Source organism: Homo sapiens, unplaced genomic scaffold, assembly GCF_000001405.40.
Source record: "Homo sapiens unplaced genomic scaffold, GRCh38.p14 Primary Assembly HSCHRUN_RANDOM_CTG28".
NCBI lineage: Eukaryota > Metazoa > Chordata > Mammalia > Primates > Hominidae > Homo > Homo sapiens.
In genome coordinates this window covers 56,903-81,354 of record NT_187506.1, presented here as the reverse complement: position 1 = coordinate 81,354, position 24,452 = coordinate 56,903, and positions in this window count along the sequence as shown.

Sequence of the window (24,452 nt, the reverse complement as noted above, 5' to 3'; positions counted from 1 at the left end):
GGACCCTGTGTGGTCCCTGGATCAAGCACACATGGGCTTATGAATGTGTTGACCACTGGCATATGAGAGGTAATTGTCTATTAGGTTATGTGGCTCTTCCTCTTTCTATTTATAACTCCAATGTTTCTGAACGCTGAAGTAGTTCATTGAAATTATTTTCCAGGATTAGACAAACTGTACCTGCAAACCAAGGAGATGAATTTTGGCCTATGTTTGGCAGAAGTCTCTTGCAATGGTGGGGAGTAACCTCTCATGAACGTATAATTAGAAATCTGTCAACCACTCTAGGTAACTTAGCAAATGAACTAGCTGAAGCCATAGCTACCAAATAAAGATCTTCAGACTCTTTAGACAGGATAGTCATGGATGACGGAATAACTTTAGGCTACATAGTGGTGAAACAGGGAGAAGCTCATATGGCAGCTAGCTAACACATCATGTTGTGTTTAGATCCATACATCTTCTGAAGTTCAAACACATGTAAAAAAATAAGATGATATGGGAATTAATTATGACAAATCCTAGGGAAGAGGCTGAAAGAGCTGTAACACAAACAGGGCTGAGACATGCCCCTTGCTCACCACATTGTGGGCAAAGAGAAGGAAAGAAGAGCTGTGGCCCTTTGGGGAGCCCAGACCTGGGAGCTCCCCGAGCCAGGTCCTTCTTTGGGGCCCTTTGGTTCCTGATATCTCCAAGATTCTGGGTGCCACTGTGTTCCCAGTGTGCCAGCTATGGAAGCTGGTTGAGGTGCCCGTGATCCAGCCACAGCCTTGTGGAGAGCTGGCGTCCGTGTTGGCACTTGGAGCCACCTGCCCCACTGCAGCAGCCAGCAGATCTGACTGCACAGTGGCCAGACCCCATGCTCACTCACACACCCCTTGCCACTCCACGCAGTCTCCCTTGGCAGGCATGGGATCCAACGTGGTAGCATGAGCTGAGCACAGCCTGCCAGGCTGAGTGTGCAGGGCCCAGCAAAGCTCGGGCAAAGGTGCCACCAGCCATAGAGGTTTCTGTCCAGAAAAGTAACACCCCAAAGATCCCGTAACACCGCTACTCTTCCCAGCCTCTGGAAACTCTCAGTCTACTCTCTATCTTGATGAGTTCAATTGTTTTAATTTTTAGCTCCCACAAATGAGTGAGAACATGTAAAGTCTGTCTTTCTGTGCCTGGCTCATTTTACTTAAAATAATGTCCTCTAGTTCCATCCATGTTGTTGCAAATGACAGAATCTTATTCTTTTTCATGGCCGAAGAGTACTCCGTTGTGTATATGTACTACATTTTCTTTATCCCTTCATCTGTTGATGCACACTTAGGTTGCTTCCAAATCTTGGCTATTATGAATAGTGCTGAAATAAATATGGGAATGCAGATATCTCTTTGATATACCAATTTTCCCTCTCTTGGGTATATACCCAGCAGTGGGATTGCTGTATCATATGATAGTTCTATTTTTAATTTTTTGAGGGACCTCCATATTTTTCTCCATAGTGAATATACTAATTTACATTCCCACCAACAGAGTAAGAGAGTTCCCTTTTCCCCACATTCTTGAAAGCATTTGTTATTGCCTGTCTTTTGCATAAAAGCCATTTTAATGGGGTAAGTTGCTATCTTATTGTAGTTTTGATTTCAATTTCTCTGATGATCAATGATATTGAGCATCTTTTCATATACCTATTTGACATTTATATATCTTCTTTTTTGTTTTTGCTCATTTTTTGAGACAGCGTCTCACTCTGTCGTCCAGGCTGGAGTGCAGTGGTATGATCACGGCTTAATGTAATGTTGACTGCCAGGGTTCAAGCAATCCTCCCACCTCAGCCTCCTGAGTAGCTGGGACCACAGGCAGGCATCACCATGCCCAGGTAGTTTTTAAAATTATTTGCTATGTTGTTCAGGTTGGTCTTGAACTCCTGGGCTCAAGTGTCCCACCCGTCTTGGCTCCCCAAAGTGCTGGAATTACAGGTGTGAGCCACTGCGCCTGACCTGGGTGCCTTCTTTTGAGAAATGTCTGCTCAGATCTTTTGCCCATTTAAATAATTGGATTGTTAGTTTTTTTCTTATAGAGTTGTTTGGGCTCCTTATATATTCTGGTTTTTAATCCCTTGTCAGATATATAGTTTGCAAATATTTTCTTCCATTCTGTGGATTGTCTTTTCACTTTGCCCATTGTTTTCTTTACTATGCAGAAACTTTTGAACTTGATGTGATACCACTTGTTCATTTTAGCTTTGGTTGCCTGAGCTTTTGGAGTATTACTCAAGAAATCTGTGCCAAGACCAATTTCCTGGAGAGTTTCCCTAATGTTTACTTTTAGTAGTTTCGTGTCTTTGATTTAAGTCTTTAACCCATTTGGATTTGATTTTTGTATATAGTGCAAGAGGGGGTTCTAGTTTAATTATTCTTAATTATTCTGCCAATGACTTTGGGAGGCCGAGGTGGGCAGATCATGGGGGCAGGAGATCGAGACCATCCTGGTTAACATGGTGAAACTCCGTCTCTACTAAAAATACAAAAAAAAAAAATTAGCCAGGCATGGTGGCGGGCGCCTGTACTCCCAGCTACTTGGGAGGCTGAGGAGGAGAATGGTGTGAACCCGGGAGGTGGAGCTTGCAGTGAGCCCAGATCGCGCCACTGCACTCCAGCCTGAGCAACAGAGCTAGACTCCATCTCAAAAAAAAAAAAAAAAAAAAAATTCTGCCAATGAATATCTAGTTTTCCCAGCACAATTTGTTGAAGAGACTATCCTCTCCCCCATGTATATTCTTGGCACCTTCATTGAAAATGAGTTAATTGTAAATGTATGGATTTATTTCTGGGTTCTCTATTCTGTTCCATTGGTCTATGTGTCTGTTTTATGCCAGTACCATGGTGTTTTGTTTACAATTGCTCTGTACTATAATTTAAAGTCAGGTGATGTGATTCTTCCAGTATTGTTCTTTTTGCTCAGGATGGCTTTTGGTATTCTGGGTCTTTTATGGTTTCGTATAAATTTTAGGAATTTTTTTCTATTTCTGTGAAGAGTGTTATTAGTATTTCAATAGGGATTGCATTGAATCTGTAGATCGCTTTGTGAAGTATGGGTATTTTAACAATATTTACTCTTCCAATCAATGAACATGGACTATCTTTCCTTTTTTTTTTTTTTTTGGTGTCCTCTTTAATTTTTTTGCATTGATGTTTTATAGTTTTCATTGTAGAGATCTTTCACTTCTTCTGTTATGTTTATTCCCATATATTTTATTTTATTTGTAGTTATTGTAAATGGGATTACATTCTTGATTTTCTTCTTTAGATTGTTCATTTTTGTCATTTAGAAATGCTACTGACTTTTGTAGTTTGATTTTGTATCCTGTGACTCTGAATTTGTTGATCAGTTCTAATAGTTTTTTGGTGGAGTCCTTAGGATTTTCCAAATATAAGATCAAATCATCTGCAAACAAGAAAACAGTAATAATTTTACTTCTTTCTAATTTGGATCCCTTTTATTGTTTTTCTCTTGTCTGAATTGCTCTAGCTAGGACTTCCAGTACTATGTTAAGTAACAGTGTTGGAAGTGGACATTCTTGTCTTGTTCCAGAACTTAGAAGAAAGGCTTTCAGCTTTTCCCTGTTCAGGATGATACTGGCTGTGGGTCTGTTGCATATGGTTTTTATTGTGTTGTGGTATGTTCCTTCTATATCTAGTTTTTTTTTGAGGGTTTCTTTTTATCACAGGGATGTTGAATTTTATTAAATGCTTTTTAGCATCAATTGAAATTATCATATGGTTTTTGTCCTTCATTCTGTTGATATGATGTGTCACATTCATTGATTTGCATATGTTGAACCATGTTGGCATCCTCGGGATAAATCCCACTTAGACATGATGAATGGTCTTTTTCATAGGATGAGTTTGGAAATACTACAGCCTTCTCTGTTTTTTGGAATAGTTTGAGTAGGATTGATAGTAATTCTGCCTTCAATGTTTGGTAAAATTAATCAGTGAAGCCAGTGAAGCCATTGAATCCAGGCTTTTCTTTGCTAGGAGATGTTTTATTTTGGCTTCAATTTCATTTATCCATTTCTTCTAGGTTTTTTTTTTTTTTTTTGAGATGGAGTCTTGCTCTGTCACCCAGGCTACAGCGTGGTACAATCTCAGCTCACTGCAACCTCTGCCTCCCAGGTTCAAGTGATTTTCCTGCCTCAGCCTCTGGAGTAGCTGGGAGAACAAGTGCATGCCATCATGCCTGGCTAATTTTTGTATTTTTAGTAGAGATGGGGTTTCACCATGTTGGCCAGGCTGGTCTTGAACTCCTGACCTCAGGTGATCACCTGCCTTGGCTTCCCGAAGTGTTGGGATTACAGGCATGAGCCACGGTGCCCAGCCATTTCTTCCAGGTTTTTCAATTTATTGGAATATAGTCAGTCATAATAGTTTCTAATGATTCTTTGAATTTCCACAGTATCAGTTATAGTGTCTCCTTTTTAATCTCTGTTTTTATGTATTTGAGTCTTCTCTCTTTTTTCTTAGTCTGGTTAAATGTTTGTTGACTTTGTTGGTCTTTTAAAAATATTAACTTTTCATTTCATTGATATTTTATATTTTTAAATTTCAATTTCATTTATTTCTGCTCCGATCTTTGCTATGTTTCCTTCTACTAATTTTGGTTTTGGTTTGCTCTTGCTTTTCTAATTATTTAAGATGCATTATTAAGGTGTTTATTTGAAGCTTTTCTACTTTTTTTTGATGTAGGTGCTTTTTTCTACAAACTTACCTCTTAGTACTGTAGTACTGTTTTTACTTTATCCCATAGGTTTTTTTTTTTTTTTTTTTTTTGAGATGGAGTCTCGCTCTGTTGCCCAGGCTGGAGTGCAGTGACGCGATCTCGGCTCATTGCAAGCTCCGCCACCCGGGTTCATGCCATTCTCCCCCCTCAGCCTCCCGAGTGTCTGGGACTACAGGCACCCACCTTCACGCCCGGCTAATTTTTGTTTTTTGTATTTTTAGTAGAGACGGGGTTTCACCGTGTTAGCCAAGATGGTCTCAATCTCCTGACCTTGTGATCCGCCTGCCTCAGCCTTCCAGAGTGCTGGGATTACAGGCATGAGCCACTGTGCCCGGCCTGTACCCCATAGGTTTTGGTTTGACTTTAAACTTTTTCTTTTCTCGAAAACTCAGTGTCATGATACCGGCTTCTTGTGCTTTGGGCAGTGAGACCCTTTTACTTGATAACAGTGGTAGCTGGGACAACTTGGCAACGTAAATAAATAAACGGCATCTAGATTGCAAAGGAAGAAGTACAGTTGTCTTTATGTACAGATGACATGATCTTGCATTTAGAAAATCATAAGAAATTTACTAAAAAGTGTTAGGACTCATGAACAAATTTAAGAATGTAACACTATATAAGACTGGTATACAAAAATAACTGTATTTCTTTACCAATAAATCAAGAATCCAAAAATGGAATTACAAAAATAAATCTTGTTACAATAGAATTAAAGCTGGGGAAGCTTAAACTTGCACACTAAAAACTACAATACATGGTTAGCATTGGAAACACCCAGATACCATCCCTGAGCCTTCTCTCCTTGGCTCTGAGGGCTTTACCTTCACGGGGTGAGGAAAGGGGTTGCATTCTTGGCTTTTACATTATATTAGGTGGGTTCGGGTTGAGGTATCTGCAATTCAAATGAGTATTACAATCTCTACTTTTATGCATAAGAGACTGAGGGGAACCAAGAGAGGGAATGACAGTCCATATCCTGGAAGGCGAATTGTCAGGCACTGATTTCCACTATGTAACCCCTGCCAATCACCGTGTATTTAAAGAATCCCCAGATACCATACCAATAGGTGTTCAAGAGAGAGGCCTGTAATCTAGGCGTCTGAGAAAACAAGGCTAGAGATTCCAATATTGGAGACAACAGGGCTCTGGGAAGATTAAGGTTGAGTTTTCTGGATCTGCAGAATAGAGTCACTGAGGACCAATTGCAAGATCAGAGGAGATGAAAGAACAAGTCAGGGCATGCTCAGGAAAAGAGAATACCAGGGATAGGTTTTAGGCAAGAGTCACACTGAGGAAGGGCAGGTTCTTGGCGTCGCTCAGGAAGAAATCCAAAAGCAAGACTGTGGTGGAAGAAAGCAGCTCTACGGAGGCATTGGCGGTGTTACAGCCCTGCGTCCACTTCGGCAGGGCAGAGAGCCCTCCGTGGGTTGTGCTCCCAGAGCAGCAGCCTAGGGGTGGCTTGTAGTCATTTTTATAATTCACTTTTAATGGCATGCTAATTAAGGGGCGGGTTATTCAGAAATAGCTAGAAATGGGCAGCAACTTCCAGCTGTTTCCATGGCAAGGGGTGGGGACTTCCCGTGCTGCCATGTCATTGGCAAGCTGTGATGGCACTGGTGGGAGCGTCTTCTGGTGATCTGAGGAGTGAGGTACTTTTGCTCCCTCTCCCAGTTTCCTGCATGCCTCCTACCTGAAAGCCCTTCACACCCCCATCTGCCCACCTACAAACGTCACTGCCCTTTCACCCCACCCCCGTTTCACACGCACTCCCACATCAACCCTGAGTATTCAAGCCTGCGTTTCCCTGTTAGGAACCTCAGTGGTAGCTGGAGCTCTGAGAAACCCCTAGGCAGAACTCTTTGCCTAGTTTGTAGCAGAAATCAGGGAAGGAAAGGCAAATTTCAGGTCTGTCTCACAATAAATAAATAAAGATAGGTAGATTTGATTGATTGATGGATGGATGAAACGTGGGAGTTTGTGGGCAAATATTTATCAGACACTGGAAGTGTAAGTTGTCACAAAGATTATGGAGTGCACCTGTCTTATGACCCTGTTATTTTATCCTAGTATATGCACTAGAGCATATTTTCTAACTGTGTAAATTGAAGGCTCACAAATTAGTTTAGTGAGAGAAAAGATAACGGATTGGAAGAGAATTACCATGTTCATTAGTTGTGTTTTTAAAATTTTAAAGTAAAATAGAGACATGATTTTTTTCATGCTTTCGAATGCATCTATAAAAATATACTTGAGGGCTGGGAGCAGTGGCTCACGCCTGTAATCCCAGCACTTTGGGAGGTCGAGGAGGGCAGATCGCGAGGTCAGGAGTTGGAGACCAGCCTGACCAACATGGTGAAAACCCGTCTCTACTAAAAATACAAAAATTAGACAAGTGTGGTGGTGCGCGCCTGTAATCCCAGCTACTCAGGAGGCTGAGGCAGGAGAATCGCTTGAACCCGGGAAGCGGAGGTTGCAGTGAGCTGAGATTGCACCATTGCACTCCAGCCTGGGCGACAGTGAGACTCCGTCTCAAAAAAAAAAAGTTACTCATTAATAGCATAGACCAATTGGCCTCTATTGAAATTTCTCCATTTTTTTCACAATGTCCCAGGCTGTGAAACCAGGATTTAATAAAGAACCAGAATGCCACATCTGTGTCACCTGGGTAGGGACCAGTCCTGATCCATTAAGTCCGGGTCTCTGGGTAACTGAACTCAACTGCTGGGCAAAACAGAATGTCCTGCGTGGGTTCCTAATGGGGGACCGCAGAGCCTCATGGGAAATGTAGTGTCACCTTCCAATGATGTTACCATCAAGGACCTTGGGAACCAGCTTTTCTCTCTGCGCTTGCGCTGCCCGGCCCACTCCGCCATTTTCCTCCGGAAGTGCGGCACCCAGAGAGGGTCCTGTAGCTGGGCCGGCTTGGGGCTTTGTTCTATGTCCCTGCGGGTCGGTGCGAGGGCGAAGAGGAACCCGTGGGTCTCGGGGGATCCCGGGGGGCCGGACCAGTGTTCCCTAGTTGTGGGAGCAGATGCGTGGGCGCATCGCGGGCGGGCAGGGCCTGAAGTGCAGGTGCGGGCCGTGGACCCTGGCGGGGGCTAGGATGACAGGCGTGTGGTCCTGTCAGTGAAGCGGGTTCTAGAGGCGCAGGAACGGGTAGGCGAGGCCGGTGGCCCTGGGCCCGGAGTCTGCAGGCCAAGCTCCTGTCCTGCCGCTTAGGGACCCGGTTACCAACCCTCATGTCGCTCAGTTTGCCCATGTGTCCCGGTGCTAACACACAGTTCTCGGGAGATGTTCCCCATTCCCAGAGGAGTAGTGCGAAATGCGTGCTCCTCTAGTCTTAAACTTGGCGTTTGTATTAGTTGGGTTTCCTGGTGTCTCTTTAGCAAGTGAAGTTTCTGGTTCCCTCCTTCACTGTGTGACCTGCCTAGTCCTCCTGGGTCGCATTTACAGAAGTTTATACGAGACCTAGTTTCCAGGGAAGAACTCACTGATTCCGCGAGGGAGATGGTGTAATGGGTGATGGTAGTCAGCCTTAACGGTACTTCAGTCTTAACTGTGTGTTACAAAGTTTGAAAGGGAGGGTTCCCTATGAATAAGAAGTGCACTTGAAAGAACAGCCATCTGGTCTAACCTCTCACTGGTGCTTCAGAGGAGGAAAAAAGGTCACAGGTGAAGAACCCAGTTTTCCTCGCTCAGGAAATATTAATTCTACTCCCTAGAATGCACAAGATTTGCAAAGACTAGGTGATAGCAGAAGGTTTGGACGAACCTTCAGAAGGTTGAGGTGAATTCAGCTGAGAAGAACAGGCAAGGACTTAGGAAATATTCCTTATTTGAAGGGGCCTGAAAGTGTGGTCTGGGGTGCAGGAGTGACCTGTCATACTTGAGAAGATTAAAATACTCTCCAAACACAGTCCCATTCCTTCAACCTTAGCTCGTTTCTTCCAGCGTCTGAGATATATTAAACCTAGTCCATCACCAAATTTAGCATTAGATTGCGAAGTTCTATTGATTGTATTTGATTTGTAATTTAAGATTTTCTCTCGCTACGTAATTTTGTTAAAAACACAAGTGAATTCTGTTCACTTAGGTGTAACAGTTAATACTTGCTGTTTAAGGAACTAATTAAACCTTACTGGCTTATAAAAAACCACCATTTTATTTGTTTGAAGTTCTGTGGATCTGCATTTTGGTGTGGTGGATTCAGCTGGGTAGTTGATATATTTGTGTTGCCTGGATCACAAAAAGGCCTTAGTCACCTGGTGCCTTGACTGAGTCTGGTTGGTTTAAGATAGTTTCCTTCACAATCTGGTGGTTTGTGGTGACTCTTGGCTAGGCCCTGTGTCTCCAACAGGGTAGCTCCAGACCTCTTCACAATTTGACTGTGTCCAAAATGGGAAGAACCAATGTATATTTGCATCACATTTTCCATTGTCCATTCACTGGACAAGTCAGATGGAAAAGCCCAATTTATTGTCAGAGCATAATATGAGGGCTTGGATAGAAGGAAAGGTGTTATTGGGAAACATGAGTAGAATGGTGTACTGTAGGAAATACATATTATGTACATTTTAAAAAACGTAATTGTAGGCCAAAATTGCTGGATTGCAAGATGCACTTTCCATGATGTTCAGGTATAGAAAAGCAAGATGTACTGTCATGGGAACACTCATATGAAGTTATTTGTGGAATCTACATATTAATAGGAAAATAGTTAATACAGCCTAGTATATTTCTATAACATTTATTTTAGTGAACTTATGTTTCTTTGTATTAAATTATTAGATTATATCTTTAGATAATATTGTTACTAAATTAGTAGGTAATACATGTTTTTATTCAAAAATAAATTGTGCATCTAATGTCTACCAATTAATGTACTTGTAGATGTATCATCTTAACTTGAGTCTTTGTTGCCCCTAATGGGGCATGAAGGACTCTTCTCCCATGGGGAAGTTTTTATTTTTCAGGAGGGAGGAGGGCTTTCCCAAGTAATGTGTCTAGAGTGTTGGGCAGAAGAATCTGGGACCACACCACACCAGTTCTCTCCTTAACCCACGTCATTTGCCTTCTATCCCAGCTGTGTTTCCAGTGTCCTCTGGGTGTTTCCAAGAGCAACAGGAAACGAATAAATCTCTGGTGAGTTGTTTATTTGTTCTTCACTTTGTTTTACACTGTATTTTCTGAGTTTATTGGTGTCTGTGAATTAAAAAGGAAAAGTAGAAATAAGTAAAACTCAGGTTGAAGGAAATATACATAAATAAGATAAAGCTGACCTGTAGATATAGGCAGGTTATAAGAGCTTAGAGTTGTCTAAGTTGGGTGCAAAGTTTCCTCTGATCTTTCTGATGCCGAGACAAAAAAGGCAGTCATATTTGTTACGTGATTGGAATGGAATCCGAGAAGAGAGCATGCTGTGTTCTTGTGGGACAGGAAAGCTTCTGTGCACCAAGTCAGAACCACCACCTTCATTGGTGACATAGATTATGTGCTGGAACATATTTCACACCGGCCTGGCAGTAACCACTTGTAGTGTTGTGCAGTGGAAACGGTCATCTTCCGCTAAAGCATGGCGTTTTGTGCAGTGGAAATGGTCATCTGCCACTAAAGCACAGCTTCCATCGTAAGGTATGCTCCTTGCTCAAAGAGTGTGGTCCCAAACAGCTTTTGGGAGGTCCTCCTTGATTCATGGATGAAACCTGGAACATCTTGAGGACTGAGTTAACCATAGGTCCTTAAATAACTCTCCACACCTTTTTCTTAGTTTATCTCTACATGCAGGGTGTGCAGCAGCCTGTTCAAAGTCATATTTTCTGGGAAATATTTCCAGTGTTTATTTGCACTTTAGCCCACTCTGTGTAGTCTTAACTTATTTCTTCTAAACTCACCATTAACCTAAATAATAGTCAAATTTAGGGGGACTGTATTTGCCTTACTCGAGTCTTCTACCATAGTTGAAACTGTCATACCTGAGTGAGTTAGAGAGAAACGCCACACTTTGAGACGAATTCAGGAGTCCTTTATTAGCCGGTGACTGAGAGACGGCCAATGCACAAAATTCTCTCGGCCCCGAAGAAGGGAATAGATTTTCTTTTATACTTTGGTTTAGAGAGGGGAGGGGGGATTCTAGCTGCAGCAACTTTACAGAAGAAAAAAACGACAAAAAAGTTAAAAAGACTGATGGTTACAGGAAAACAAACTGTTCCAGGTGCAGGGGCTTTAAATTCACCACAAAGTGATAGGTGAGGGGGCTCTGGGCATTATCTGCTGGACAAATGTGGGGGCTTTATGATACTATCTCTGAGTAATTTGCTGGGAACTGCCGACATCGCTTGTCTCAGCACTTTATCAGTTAATTGCACTCTTTGATATGTTGAAAATCAGTTTGCACAAGTTAAAGTCCTTGAGGAAAGGGGGTGGGTAAGGAGCCCTTGATGTCTTGTAAATGAAGGAGCCAAATAGAGTTTGTCTGGTTTTCTCAGCTAAGGGAGAGTCTATTCATATTAAAAACAAGGTTAGCTATCTAAGGAAGAGTCTATTCATGTTAATACAACGTTGGGTATTACAAAACGTCTGTTCATGACCTGGAAATTCTTCTGTGTTAGTTCTGTTAAAAGAAAAACTTTAAAGGAGTTTAATTGAGCAATAAACGATTCACGAATCAGACAGTCCCCAGAATCACAGCAGATTCACAGAGACTCCAGCGCAGTCATGTGGTGGAAGAAGATTTATAGACAAAAGGGAAATGGCATACCGAAATCGGAAGTGAGGTACAGAAACAACTCAGCGTTTGCCTTCTTTGAACACATTTTGAACATTTGGCAGTGCCTGAGTGGTTGAAGTTTGGCCATTGGGATTGGCCAAGATGTAGCTGTTGTTCCAGGTGCATACTCTCAAGTTAGTTTTTCATTCTTGTATACCTATTAAGGTAGGTTGCAGTTCATCCACAAGGACTCATATATAGAATTATGGAGTCCTTCTCAGGCCATACTTAGTTCACTTTAACAATGCCTTCCCTTTGGTTATTTTCTCAATTTTGAGAGATTGGCCAAAACTTCAGTCACTGGTGTCACTATTACCATTGCAAATGTACTTACTTGGTTTAGAAACCCACTGGGAAATAGACCAGTGAGATTTGAAAAGGTGGAACAAGGACTTGAGTAGAATATATCTTCTTATGCTGGAACATCCTGTTTACAGGAGAAAAACAAAACCTGGTTTGTTCTAGGATTTATGTGTTTCCTTAAAGTCTTAGTTTGATTATGTTACATTTAGCATGAGTGACTCGATTTTATTTGGTTTGGTCTGTTGGGACCTATTGCATGAGCTTAGTTCAAAACAATGGCCTCCCATAATTTTGCTTAAAAAATTCCTCCTTTTGGCTGGGTGAGGTGGCTTACACCTGTAATCCCAGCACTTTGGGGGGCTGAGGTGGGCAGATCACGAGGTCAGGAGATTGAGACCATCCTTGCTAATAAGGTGAAACCCCGTCTCTGCTAAAAATACAAAAAATTAGCCAAGTGTGGCAGCGGGTGCCTGTAGTCCCAGCTACTCAGGAGGCTGAGGCAGGAGAATTGCCTGAACCCGGGAGGCGGAGCTTGCAGTGAGCCGAGATCGTGCCACTGCACTCCACTCTGGGGGACAGACCAAGACTCTGTCTTAGAAAAAAAAATCCTCTTTTTCAGTCAAGTTCTCACTTAGTTGAGAGTGTGACCAAAATGTAGGGCCTTAACACCACTCTTAGTTACCATTGTTTTGGGTTCCGATTTTAGCACATCATTCCCATTGTTTTGGGTTTCTGGTTTAGCACGTCACTCCCATTGTTTTGGGTTCCGGTTTTAGCACGTCATTCCCATTGTTTTGGGTTTCTGGTTTAGCACCTCACTCTCATTGTTTTGGGTTCCTGTTTTAGCACGTCACTCCCATTGTTTTGGGTTCTGGTTTAGCACTTCACTCTCATTGTTTTGGGTTCTGGTTTTAGCACGTCACTCCCATTGTTTTGTGTATCTGGTTTTAGCACCTCACTCCCATTGTTTTGGGTTTCCAGGTTTTAGCACGTCACTCCCATTGTTTTGGGTTTCTGGTTTATCACGTCACTCCCATCGTTTTGGTTTTCTGGTGTAGCAGGATGCTCCCATTGTTTTGGGTTTCTGGTTTTAGCACGTCACTCCCATTGTTTTGGGTTTCTGGTTTAGCAGGACGCTCCCATTGTTTTGGGTTTCTGGTTTTAGCATGTCACTCCCATTGTTTTGGGTTTCTGGTTTTACACGTCACTCCCATTGTTTTGGGTTTCTGGTTCAGCAGGTCACTCCCATTGTTTTCGGTTTCTGGTTTAGCAGGACGCTCCCATTGTTTTGGGTTTCTGGTTTAGCAGGTCACTCCCATTGTTTTGGGTTTCTGGTTTAGCAGGTCATTCCCATTGTTTTGGGTTCCGGTTTAAGCACATCACTCCCATTGTTTTGGGTTTTTGGTTTAGCACGTCACTCCCATTGTTTTGGGTTGTGGTTTAGCACGTCACTCTCATTGTTTTGGGTTCTGGTTTTAGCACGTCACTCCCATTGTTTTGGGTGTCTGGTTTTATCACGTCACTCCCATCGTTTTGGGTTTCTGGTGTAGCAGGACGCTCCCATTGTTTTGGGTTTCTGGTTTTAGCATGTCACTCCCTTTGTTTTGGGTTTCTGGTTTTACACATCACTCCCATTGTTTTGGGTTTCTGGTTCAGCAGGTCACTCCCATTGTTTTCGGTTTCTGGTTTAGCAGGATGCTCCCATTGTTTTGGGTTTCTGGTTTAACAGGTCACTCCCATTGTTTTGGGTTTCTGGTTTAGCAGGTCATTCCCATTGTTTTGGGTTCCGGTTTAAGCACATCACTCCCATTGTTTTGGTTTCTGGTTTTACATGTCACTCCCATTGTTTTGGGTTTCTGGTTTAGCAGGTCACTCCCATTGTTTTCGTTTCTGGTTTTAGCACATCACTCCCATTGTTTTGGGTTCCAGTTTTAGCAAGTCACTCCCATTGTTTTGGGTTTCTGGTTTTGCAGGTCACTCCCATTGTTTTGGGTTCTGGTTTTAGTGCACGTCACTCGCACTGTTTTGGGTTCCAGTTTAGTACATCACTCCCATTGTTTTGGGTTTCTGGTTTAGCATGTCACTCTCATTGTTTTGGGTTTCCGGTTTAGTATATCACTCATAGGATATGGTGTCCTTATGGTTGCACTTTTTTTTTAATCACTTGTCATTCCAGTTGAAGAGATACCATTTGATATTTTAGAGATGCCTGCATGCAAACTCTTAAAACATTTGAGTAAGTACAGTGCACCAGGGAGACTCTTATGACTATTGGGATAACACCAAGAATTTGGTATATGCTCCTAACTCAGGGTCCCCATAAATCAAACCACCTAAAATCAAATAGATTAAAGAATGAATTAAAGAGTTTACTTGCTTAACTAAGTGGGTTTTTTGTTAATTCCCTACAACCGAATCTTTATAATACCCCATGTTTTCTCCACATGCTGTAAGTGTTAGCAGCTGCACAGATACTTAAGATAAGTGTCTCATGATAGTAGAGAAGTCTTGATCTGTGATCTTGGGAAAAGCTGTTCACATTAGGGATACCATCTTCTTCTGGGGGGAACTGTCCTTGTTAGCTTTACCTTAAGGGTTCCAATGGGTATATGGTTCCAAGTGTGGAAGGACCCTTCTGAGTTGTGAGACTATGAACCCAAAGTTTAAGGTTTTAAAGTTTTGCTGTCATGTGGATGGCAAGGGCAGTCCTTCTCTGATGTTCTCAGAAGATCCAGTCATCAGATTCTAGATTTTGAAGGGGTTGACTGTCCTCAGTGAGCCATAAAAGGCTTTCTTTACCTGGTGAAAATACACTTCAGGGTAATAATCTACTGTTTCAACATCAACTGTCTCGCATGGAAGAGCTTTTATACAATCAGAAAACATGCACTGAAAATGACAACTGAATGAAATCCCTTTATAAAATGTTTAAATGGCCCATCACATAACCAAATGTACCTGAAGTTTTGATTGTTTTCCTAGGAATATAGGTATGACAAACCAAACATTGGTTATAAACTATTTTAGCAGTTTAGAAATCACCACACCAATATATTTAATTTGGATCATTTTCTCTTTCCATGATGAGTTATGGAATGCAGAACTTTTAATAACAAAAGTTTTAAGGACTTAAGAAGGATAAGGTGGCCATCCTGGTTCTTCATAAGTCTGTGCTTAATTAACATTAGACTTACATCCTCTTGAATACCAGCTGTTTCTCCAAATTAGGTGTATGGTACTGGTAACTGATGAGTAGTTATAGGTGATTTGACTTAGACCATGGAGTTTATTTAAATTATATATCTAAACAATTTCAATATTGGTGATTTAGCATGCAAATGTGGCAAAATATTTCCTTGGTATACAATTTTTGTTTTACTTAGGTTAGCAGTTTTATAAACCAGTTGGTCTTTTTATTAAACTTTTGGGATTTTTTTTTTTTTTTTGAGACAGAGTCTCACTCTGTTACCTAGGTTGGAGTGCAGTGGCACAATCTTGGCTCACTGCAACCTCCACCTCCTGGGTTCAAGCAATTCTCTTGCCTCAGCCTCCAGAGTAGCTGGGATTACAGGCACATACCACTACACCCAGCTAATTTTTATATTATTAGTAGAGGTGGGGTTTCACCATTGGCCAGGCTGGTCTCAAACTCCTGACCTCAAGTGACCCACCGGCCTTGGCCTCCCAAAGTGCTGGGATTGCCAGCGTGAGCCGCTGCACCCAGCCTAACTTTTGAGAATTCTTAGCCAGTCCAATTCTTGGGGGATCGGGGAACTTATGGGGAATTTTTACCCATGATATTAAAGTTATTAGAAACCTGTGTTCACAAGTGTTTCTCAGGGTCCTTTTCTTTCTTTCATGGATCTTCTAAGAGACACCATATTCTAAAATTTTACATGCTTGTGAAGTTTTTAGAAACTGCATCACCATTAAGCAATTAACTGTGGAAATGACTTTAAATAGTTATAGTTAAAGACAATTGACAAGGAAATTTGGTTATTTCTGTGGTCTACAATAACTTAATAACCATAATTAGGGTGGATGTAGTGGCTCATGCCTGTAATCCCAGCACTGTGGGAGGCCGAGGTGGAAGGATCACAAGGTCAGGAGATCGAGACCATCCTGGCTAACATGGTGAAATCCATCTTTACTAAAAATACAAAAATTAGCCTGGCATGGTGGTGGGTGCCTGTAGTCCCAGCTACTCAGGAGGCTGAGGCAGGAGAATGGCATGAACCCGGGAGGTGGAGGTTGCAGTGAGCCGAGATTGCACCACTGTACTCCAGCCTGGGTGACAGAGCAAGATTCCATCTCAGAAAAAAAAAAAAATACAAGAATTTTAGAAATCCTATACAATTTTAGAATGGATTGATGACATACACTGAATATAACCTAAAGAAGGTTCAACATTATTTTTTATTTTGACAGTTCTAGCCATGTGACTTAACATGTTAAATAGTCCTGTTTACTTCTCTTTTGGGTACTTCAGGGGCCTCTGTAGTATCCCAAAGTTAGAGGTCAGAAAAAAAATTTTGAAGTTGAAATTTGATTTTGGGAAGCCTATTAAATATATTAAAGGTTTAAACACTTGATGTTATGAAATAGAATTCCATGTCAACGTAAGTCATTCATTTACCTAAAATCATGACTTAAAAAATTTTTAAAGGGCAAAAATCTTTACTCATTGATAGGGGGAAGACTTATTTCCACAAATAATCTGCCTCTTGTTTTTCCTTTTTTTTTTGGTAGTTTATTTACAAGGCAAACAAATTTTTCATTTTATTATTTTATTTTTATTATTATTATTATTATTATTATACTTCAAGTTTTAGGGTTTATGTGCACAATGTGCCGGTTAGTTACATATGTATACATATGCCAGTCTGGTGTGCTGCACCCATTAACTCGTCATTTAGCATTAGGAATATCTCCTAATGCTATCCCTCCCTTCTCCCCCCACCTGACAACAGTCCCCAGAGTGTGATGTTCCCATTCCTGTGTCCATGTGTTCTCATTGTTCAATTCCCATCTATGAATGAGAACACGCAGTGTTTGGTTTTTTGTCCTTGTGATAGTTTACTGAGAATGATGATTTCCAATTTCATCCATATCCCTACAAAGGACATGAACTTATCATTTTTTATGGCTGCATAGTATTCCATGGTGTATATGTGCCACAATTTCTCAATCCAGTCTATCGTTGTTGGACATTTGGGTTGGTTCCAAGTCTTTGCTATTGTGAATAGTGCCACAATAAACATACGTGTGCATGTGTCTTTATAGCAGCATGATTTATAGTCCTTTGGTTATATACCCACTAATGGGATGGCTGGGTCAAATGGTATTTCTAGTTCCAGATACTTGAGGAATCGCCACACTGACTTCCACAATCGTTGAACTAGTTTACAGTCCCACCAACAGTGTAAAATAGTTTCTATTTCTCCACATCCTCTCCAGCACCTGTTGTTTCCTGACTTTTTAATGATTGCCATTCTAACTGGTGTGAGATGGTATCTCATTGTGGTTTTGATTTGCATTTCTCTGATGGCCAGTGATGATGAGTATTTTTTCATGTGTCTTTTGGCTGCATAAAGATCTTCTATTGAGAAGTGTCTGTTCATATCCTTCACCCACTTTTTGATGGGGTTGTTTGTTTTTTTCTTGTAAATTTGTTTAAGTTCGTTGTAGATTCTGGATATTAGCCCTTTGTCAGATGAGTAGGTTGCAAAAATTTTCTCCCATTTTGTAGGTTGCCTGTTCACTCTGATGGCAGTTTCTTTTGCTGTGCAGAAGCTCTTTAGTTTAATTAGATCCCATTTGTCAATTTTGGCTTTTGTTGCCATTGCTTCTGGTGTTTTAGACATGAAGTCCTTGCCCATGCCTATGTCCTGAATGGTAATGCCTAGTTTTACTTCTAGGGTTTTTATGGTTTCAGGTCTAACATTTAAGTCTTTAATCCATCTTGAATGAATTTTTGTATAAGGTGTAAGGAAGGGATCCAGTTTCAGCTTTCTACATATGGCTAGCCAGTTTTCCCAGCACCATTTATTAAATAGGGAATACACTCCTTGTTTTTGTCAGGTTTGTCAAAGATCAGATAGTTGTAGATACGCAGCATTATTTCTGAGGGCTCTGTGCTGTTCCATTGGTCTGTATCTCTGTTTTGGTACCAGTACCATGCTGTTTTGGTTACTGTAGCCTTGTAGTATAGTTTGAAGTCAGGTAGGGTGATGCCTCCAGCTTTGTTCTTTCAGCTTAGGATTGACTTGGTGATGCAGGCTCTTTTTTGGTTCCATATGAACTTTAAAGTAGTTTTTTCCAATTCTGTGAAGAAAGTCATTGGTAGCTTGATGGGGACGGCATTGAATCTATAAATTACCTTGGGCAGTATGGCCATTTTCATAATATTGATTCTTCCTATCCATGAGCATGGAATGTTCTTCCATTTGTTTGTATCCTCTTTTATTTCATTGAGCAGTGGTTTGTAGTTCTCCTTGAAGAGGTCCTTGACGTCCCTTGTAAATTGGATTCCTAAGTATTTTATTCTCTTTGAAGCAATTGCGAATGGGAGTTCACTCATGATTTGGCTCTGTGTTTGTCTGTTTTTGGTGTATAAGAATGCTTGTGATTATTGTACATTGATTTTGTATCCTGAGACTTTGCTGAGGTTACTTATCAGCTTAAGGAGATTTTGGGCTGAGACAATCGGGTTTTCTAGATATACAATCATGTCATCTGCAAAGAGGGACAATTTGACTTCCTGTTTTCCTAATTGAATACCCTTTATTTCCTTCTCCTGCCTAATTGCCCTGGCCAGAACTTCTAACACTATGTTGAATAGGAGTGGTGAGAGAGGGCATCCCTGTCTTGTGCCCGTTTTCAAAGGGAATGCTTCTAGTTTTTGCCCATTCAGTATGATATTGGCTGTGGGTTTGTCATAGATAGCCCTCATTATTTTGAGATACGTCCCATCAATACCTAATTTATTGAGAGTTTTTAGCATGAAGCGTTGTTGAATTTTGTCAAAGGCCTTTTCTGCATCTATTGAGATAATCATGTGGTTTTTGTCTTTGGTCCTGTTTATATGCTGGATTACATTTATTGATTTGTGTATATTGAATCAGCCTTGCATCCCAGGGATGAAACCCACTTAATCATGGTGGATAAGCTTTTTTATATGCTGCTGGATTTGGTTTGCCAGTATTTTATTGAGGATTTTTGCATCAATATTCGTTAAGGATATTGGTCTAAAATTCTCTTTTTTGTTGTGTCTCTTCCCGGCTTTGGTATCAGGATGATGTTGGCCTCATAAAATGAGTTAGGGAGGACTCCTTCTTTTTCTATTGATTGGAATAGTTTCAGAAGGAATGGTACCAGTTCCTCCTTGTACCTCTGGTAGAATTTGGCTGTGAATCCATCTGGTCCAGGACTCTTTTTGGTTGGTAAGCTATTGATTATTGCCACAATTTCAGATCCTGTTATTGGTCTATTCAGAGATTCAACTTCTCCCTGGTTTAGTCTTGGGAGAGTGTATGTGTGGCGGAATTTATCCATTTCTTCTAGATTTTCTAGTTTATTTGCATAGAGGTGTTTGTAGTATTCTCTGATGGTAGTTTGTATTTCTGAGGGATCAGTGGTGATATCCCCTTTATCATTTTTTATTGTGTCTACTTGATTCTTCTCTCTTTTTTACTTTATTAGTCCTGCGAACAGTGTATCAATTTTGTTGATCCTTTCAAAACACCAGCTCCTGGATTCATTAATTTTTTGAAGCGTTTTTTTGTTGCTATTTCCTTCAGTTCTGCTCTGATTTTAGTTATTTCTTGCCTTCTGTTAGCTTTTGAATGTGTTTGCTCTTGCTTTTCTAGTTCTTTTAATTGTGATGTTAGGGTGTCAATTTTGGATCTTTCCTGCTTTCCCTTGTGGGCATTTAGTGCTATAAATTTCCCTCTACACACTACTTTGAATGCGTCCCAGGGATTGTGGTATGTTGTGTCTTTGTTCTCATTGGTTTCAAAGAACATCTTTATTTCTGCCTTCATTTTGTTATGTACCCAGTAGTCATTCAGGAGCAGGTTGTTCAGTTTCCATGTAGTTGAGCAGTTTTGAGTGAGTTTCTTAATGCCGAGTTCTAGTTTGATTGCACTGTGGTCTGAGAGACAGTTTGTTATAATTTCTCTTCTTTTACATTTGCTGGAGAGGGCTTTACTTCCAAGTATGTGGTCAATTTTGGAATAGGTGTGGTGTGGTGCTGAAAAAAAGGTATATTCTGTTGATTTGGGGTGGAGAGTTCTGTAGATGTCTATTAGGTCCCCTTGGTGCAGAGCTGAGTTGAACTCCTTGGTATCCTTGTGAACTTTCTGTCTAATTGATCTGTCTAATGTTGACAGTGGAGTGTTAAAGTCTCCCATTATTATTGTGTGGGAGTCTAAGTTTCTTTGTAGGTCTCTAAGGACTTGCTTTATGAATCTGGGTGCTCCTGTATTGGGTGCATATATATTTAGGATAGATAGCTCTTCTTGTTGAATTGATCCCTTTACCATTATGTAATGGTCTTCTTTGTCTCTTTTGATCTTTGTTGGTTTACAGTCTGTTTTATCAGAGTCTAGGATTGCAACCCCTGCTTTTTTTTGTTTTCCATTTGCTTGGTAGATCTTCCTCCATCCTTTTATTTTGAGCCTATGTGTGTCTCTGCACGTGAGATGGGTTTCCTGAATACAGCACACTGATGGGTCTTGACTCTTTATCCAATTAGCCAGTCTGTGTCTTTTAATTGGAGCATTTAATCCATTTACATTTAAAGTTAATATTGTTATGTGTGAATTTGATCCTGTCATTATGATGTTAGCTGGTTATTTTGCTCGTTAATTGACCCAGTTTCTTCCTAGTCTTGATGGTCTTTACAATTTGGCATGTTTTTGCAGTGGCTGGTACCGACTGTGCCTTTCCATGTTTAGTGCTTCCTTCAGGAGCACTTTTAGGGCAGGCCTGGTGGTGACAAAATCTCTCAGCATTTGCTTGTCTGTAAAGTATTTTATTTTTCCTTCACTTATGAAGCTTAGTTTGGCTGGATATGAATTTCTGGGTTGAAAATTCTTTTCTGTAAGAATGTTGAATATTGGCACCCACTCTCTTCTGGCTTGTAGAGTTTCTGCCGAGAGATCAGCAGTTAGTCTGATGGGCTTCCCTTTGTGGGTAACCTGACCTTTCTCTCTGGCTGCCCTTAACATTTTTTCCTTCATTTCAACTTTGGTGAATCTGACAATTATGTGTCTTGGAGTTGCTGTTCTCGAGGAGTATCTTTGTGGCATTCTCTGTATTTCCTGAATCTGAATGTTGGCCTGCTTTGCTGGATTGGGGAAGTTCTCCTGGATAATATCCTGCAGAGTGTTTTCCAACTTGGTTCCATTCTTCCCGTCACTTTCAGGTACACCAATCAGACACAGATTTGGTCTTTTCACATAGTCCCATATTTCTTGGAGGCTTTGTTCATTTCTTTTTATTCTTTTTTCTCTAAACTTCTCTTCATGCTTCTTTTCATTCATTTCATCTTTCATCACTGATATGCTTTCTTCCAGTTGATCTCATCATCTCCTGAGGCTTCTGCATTCTTCACATAGTTCTCGAGCCTTGGCTTTCAGCTCCATCAGCTCCTTTAAGCACTTCTCTATATTGGTTATTCTAGTTATACATTCTTCTAAAGTTTTTCAAAGTTTTCAACTTCTTTGCCTTTGGTTTGTATTTCCTCCTGTAGCTCGGAGTAGTTTGATCATCTGAAGCCTTCTTCTCTCAACTCGTCAGAGTCATTCTCTGTCCAGCTTTGTTCCATTGCTGGTGAGGAACTGCATTCCTTTGGAGGAGGAGAGGTGCTCTGCTTTTTAGAGTTTCCAGTTTTTCTGCTCTGTTTTTTCCCCATCTTTGTGGTTTTATCTACTTTTGGTCTTTGATGATGGTGATGTACAGATGGGTTTTTGGTGTGGATGTCCTTTCTGTTTGTTAGTTTTCCTTCTAACAGACAGGACCCTCAGCTTCAGGTATGTTGGAGTTTGCTAGAGGCCCATTCCAGACCCTATTTGCCTGGGTATCAGCAGTGGTGTCTGCAAAACCGTGGATTTTCGTGATCCGTGAATGTTGCTGTCTGATCATTCCTCTGGAAGTTTTGTCTCAGAGGAGTACCCGGTCGTGTGAGGTGTCAGTCTGCCCCTACTGGGGGGTGCCTCCCAGTTAGGCTGCTTGGGGGTCAGGGATCAGGGACCCACTTGAGGAGGCAGTCTGCACATTCTCAGATCTCCAGCTGTGTGCTGGGAGAAACACTGCTCTCCTCAAAGCTGTCAGACAGGGACATTTAAGTCTGCGAGGTTACTGCTGCCTTTTTGTTTGTCTGTGCCCTGCCCCCAGAGGTGGAGCCTGCAGAGGCAGGAAGGCCTCCTTGAGCTGTGGTGGGCTCCACCCAGTTCGAGCTTCCCGGCTGCTTTGTTTACCTAAGAGAGCCTGGGCAATAGCCGGTGCCCCTCCCCCAGCCTCGCTGCCGCCTTGCAGTTTGATCTCAGACTGCTGTGTTAGCAATCAGCGAGACTCCATGGGCATAGGACCCTCTGAGCCAGGTGCCGGATATAATCTCCTGGTGTGCCGTTTCCTAAGCCCGTCAGAAAAGCGCAGTGTTAGGGTGGGAGTGGCCTGATTTTCCAGGTGCCGTCTGTCACCCCTTTCCTTGACCAGGAAAGGGAACTAACTCCCTGACCCCTTGCACTTCCCAAGTGAGGCAATGCCTCGCCCTGCTTCAGCTAGTGCACAGTGCACTTCACCCACTGTCCTGCGCCCACTGTCTGGCACTCCCTAGTGAGATGAACCCAGTACCTCAAATGGAAATGCAGAAATCACCCGTCTTCTGCATCGCTCATGCTGGGAGCTGTAGACTCGAGCTGTTCCTATTCGGCCAGCTTGGCTCCTTCTCCCATTATTTTTTAATATTTTCTGAAAATCTTCTTTAAAGAGAGAAAGCCAAATGTCACCCACTTTTTCATAAAACCTTATAGGCAAATCTATTATTATTTTCTTTTCTTGAGGTGGATTTTCCCTCTTGTTGCCCAGGCTGGAGTGCAATGGCGCGATCTCGGTTTACTGCAACCCCCTGCCTCCCAGATTCAAGCAATTCTCCTGCCCCAGCCTCCTGAGTAGCTGGGATTAGAGGCGTGCCCCACCATGCCCAGCTAATTTTGTGTTTTTAGTAGAGACGGGGTTTTTCCTTGTTGTTCAGGCTGGCCCTGAACTCCTGACCTCAGGTGATCCACCTGCCTCAGCCTCCCCAAGTGTTGGGATTACAGGCGTGAGCCACTGCCTCTGGCCATTTTTTTTTTAAAGATAACATCTTTCTCTGTCACCCTCCTCACATTATAGCTCTGGGGCCAAGCTGCATCACAATGGAAATCATGGAGCCACAGGAAGAATCCACTCAGCTTTGCAAGATGTTGCCCAAGGGGTTGCTTGGAGTAACCAAATTAACATTTTTCATTCTGCTCAGAGCAAAATACATGTGACAAAACATAGACACGAGCCACTTTGCTTAGCACCCAGTGTCAAACTGGTAAGACTCAAACTTGCTCCCAGATAGGCCGTGCCATCTCTAAATCTTTTTAGAAGCTTCTGCATATTAATAGGCATCCCTAGATGAGACTAATTTGGGAGCCCTCATTTTTAAATGCACTTCAGGGCATTATTCATTTGGAATATTCCACTGTAAGTTAACTTTAGTAAGATTTTGCCATTTCTGTAAGACTTTGCTGCCTCCCAGGCCTAATGAATTAGCCAGAAGGAACTAAGTTTTCCAGAAATTAAGGATCCTATTTTTACCTAATATATTGGCTTTACTCCCAGGTTCCCTTGATTGACTTAGCCAATGATTTTTTTTCCTACCTAAGCGTGTGAGGAAAATGAAACAAAGGGGTAGAACACAAAAATCCCTGTGAATTTTCAAAAGCCAAATTTTACAGCCCTACAATATTATCATTTACTACCACTTTCCTTCTGACCCATTCAGATGTAGGAGGTCTCTAACTGGAACTGGATTCAAGCCAGTTAACTACTGGATCAAATCTGATCCTGGACCCGGTCCCGTTTCTGTCATAACTTCTAAAACATCCAGCCAGTCATGGCTGGATAGCAGTTTGGAACAGAAATTTGCTCAAAGAAACTCAGAGCTCAAAACACAAATCCATGGAGCTCTGAAATCCGAGAAAGAATTTATCATGATCCCCAGCAGCTCTGAGAGATCAAAGGGCACAAGTGTTACAGAATCCTGAGACATCACTTTTCTGCCTGAAGCCTCTGGCTGGTGGTGCCTTTACCTGTGTTTTGCTCGGGCCCACTGGGTTCGTTCTGTCCACTCGGGTCATGCTAGTGGTTTGGATCCCACACTTGCCAAGGGTGATCTGGGTACAGAGCAGTGAAGGGTGTGTGAGCAAGCAAGCATGGGATCTGGCCACTGCACACAGTCAAGCATGCCAGCTGCAGTGGGGTGGGCAGCTCCAGGCACCGGCACAGGTGCCAGATCCCTGTGAGGCTGCAGCTGGACCAGGCCGACTGCAAACAGCTTCCACTGTGGGTATCAGGG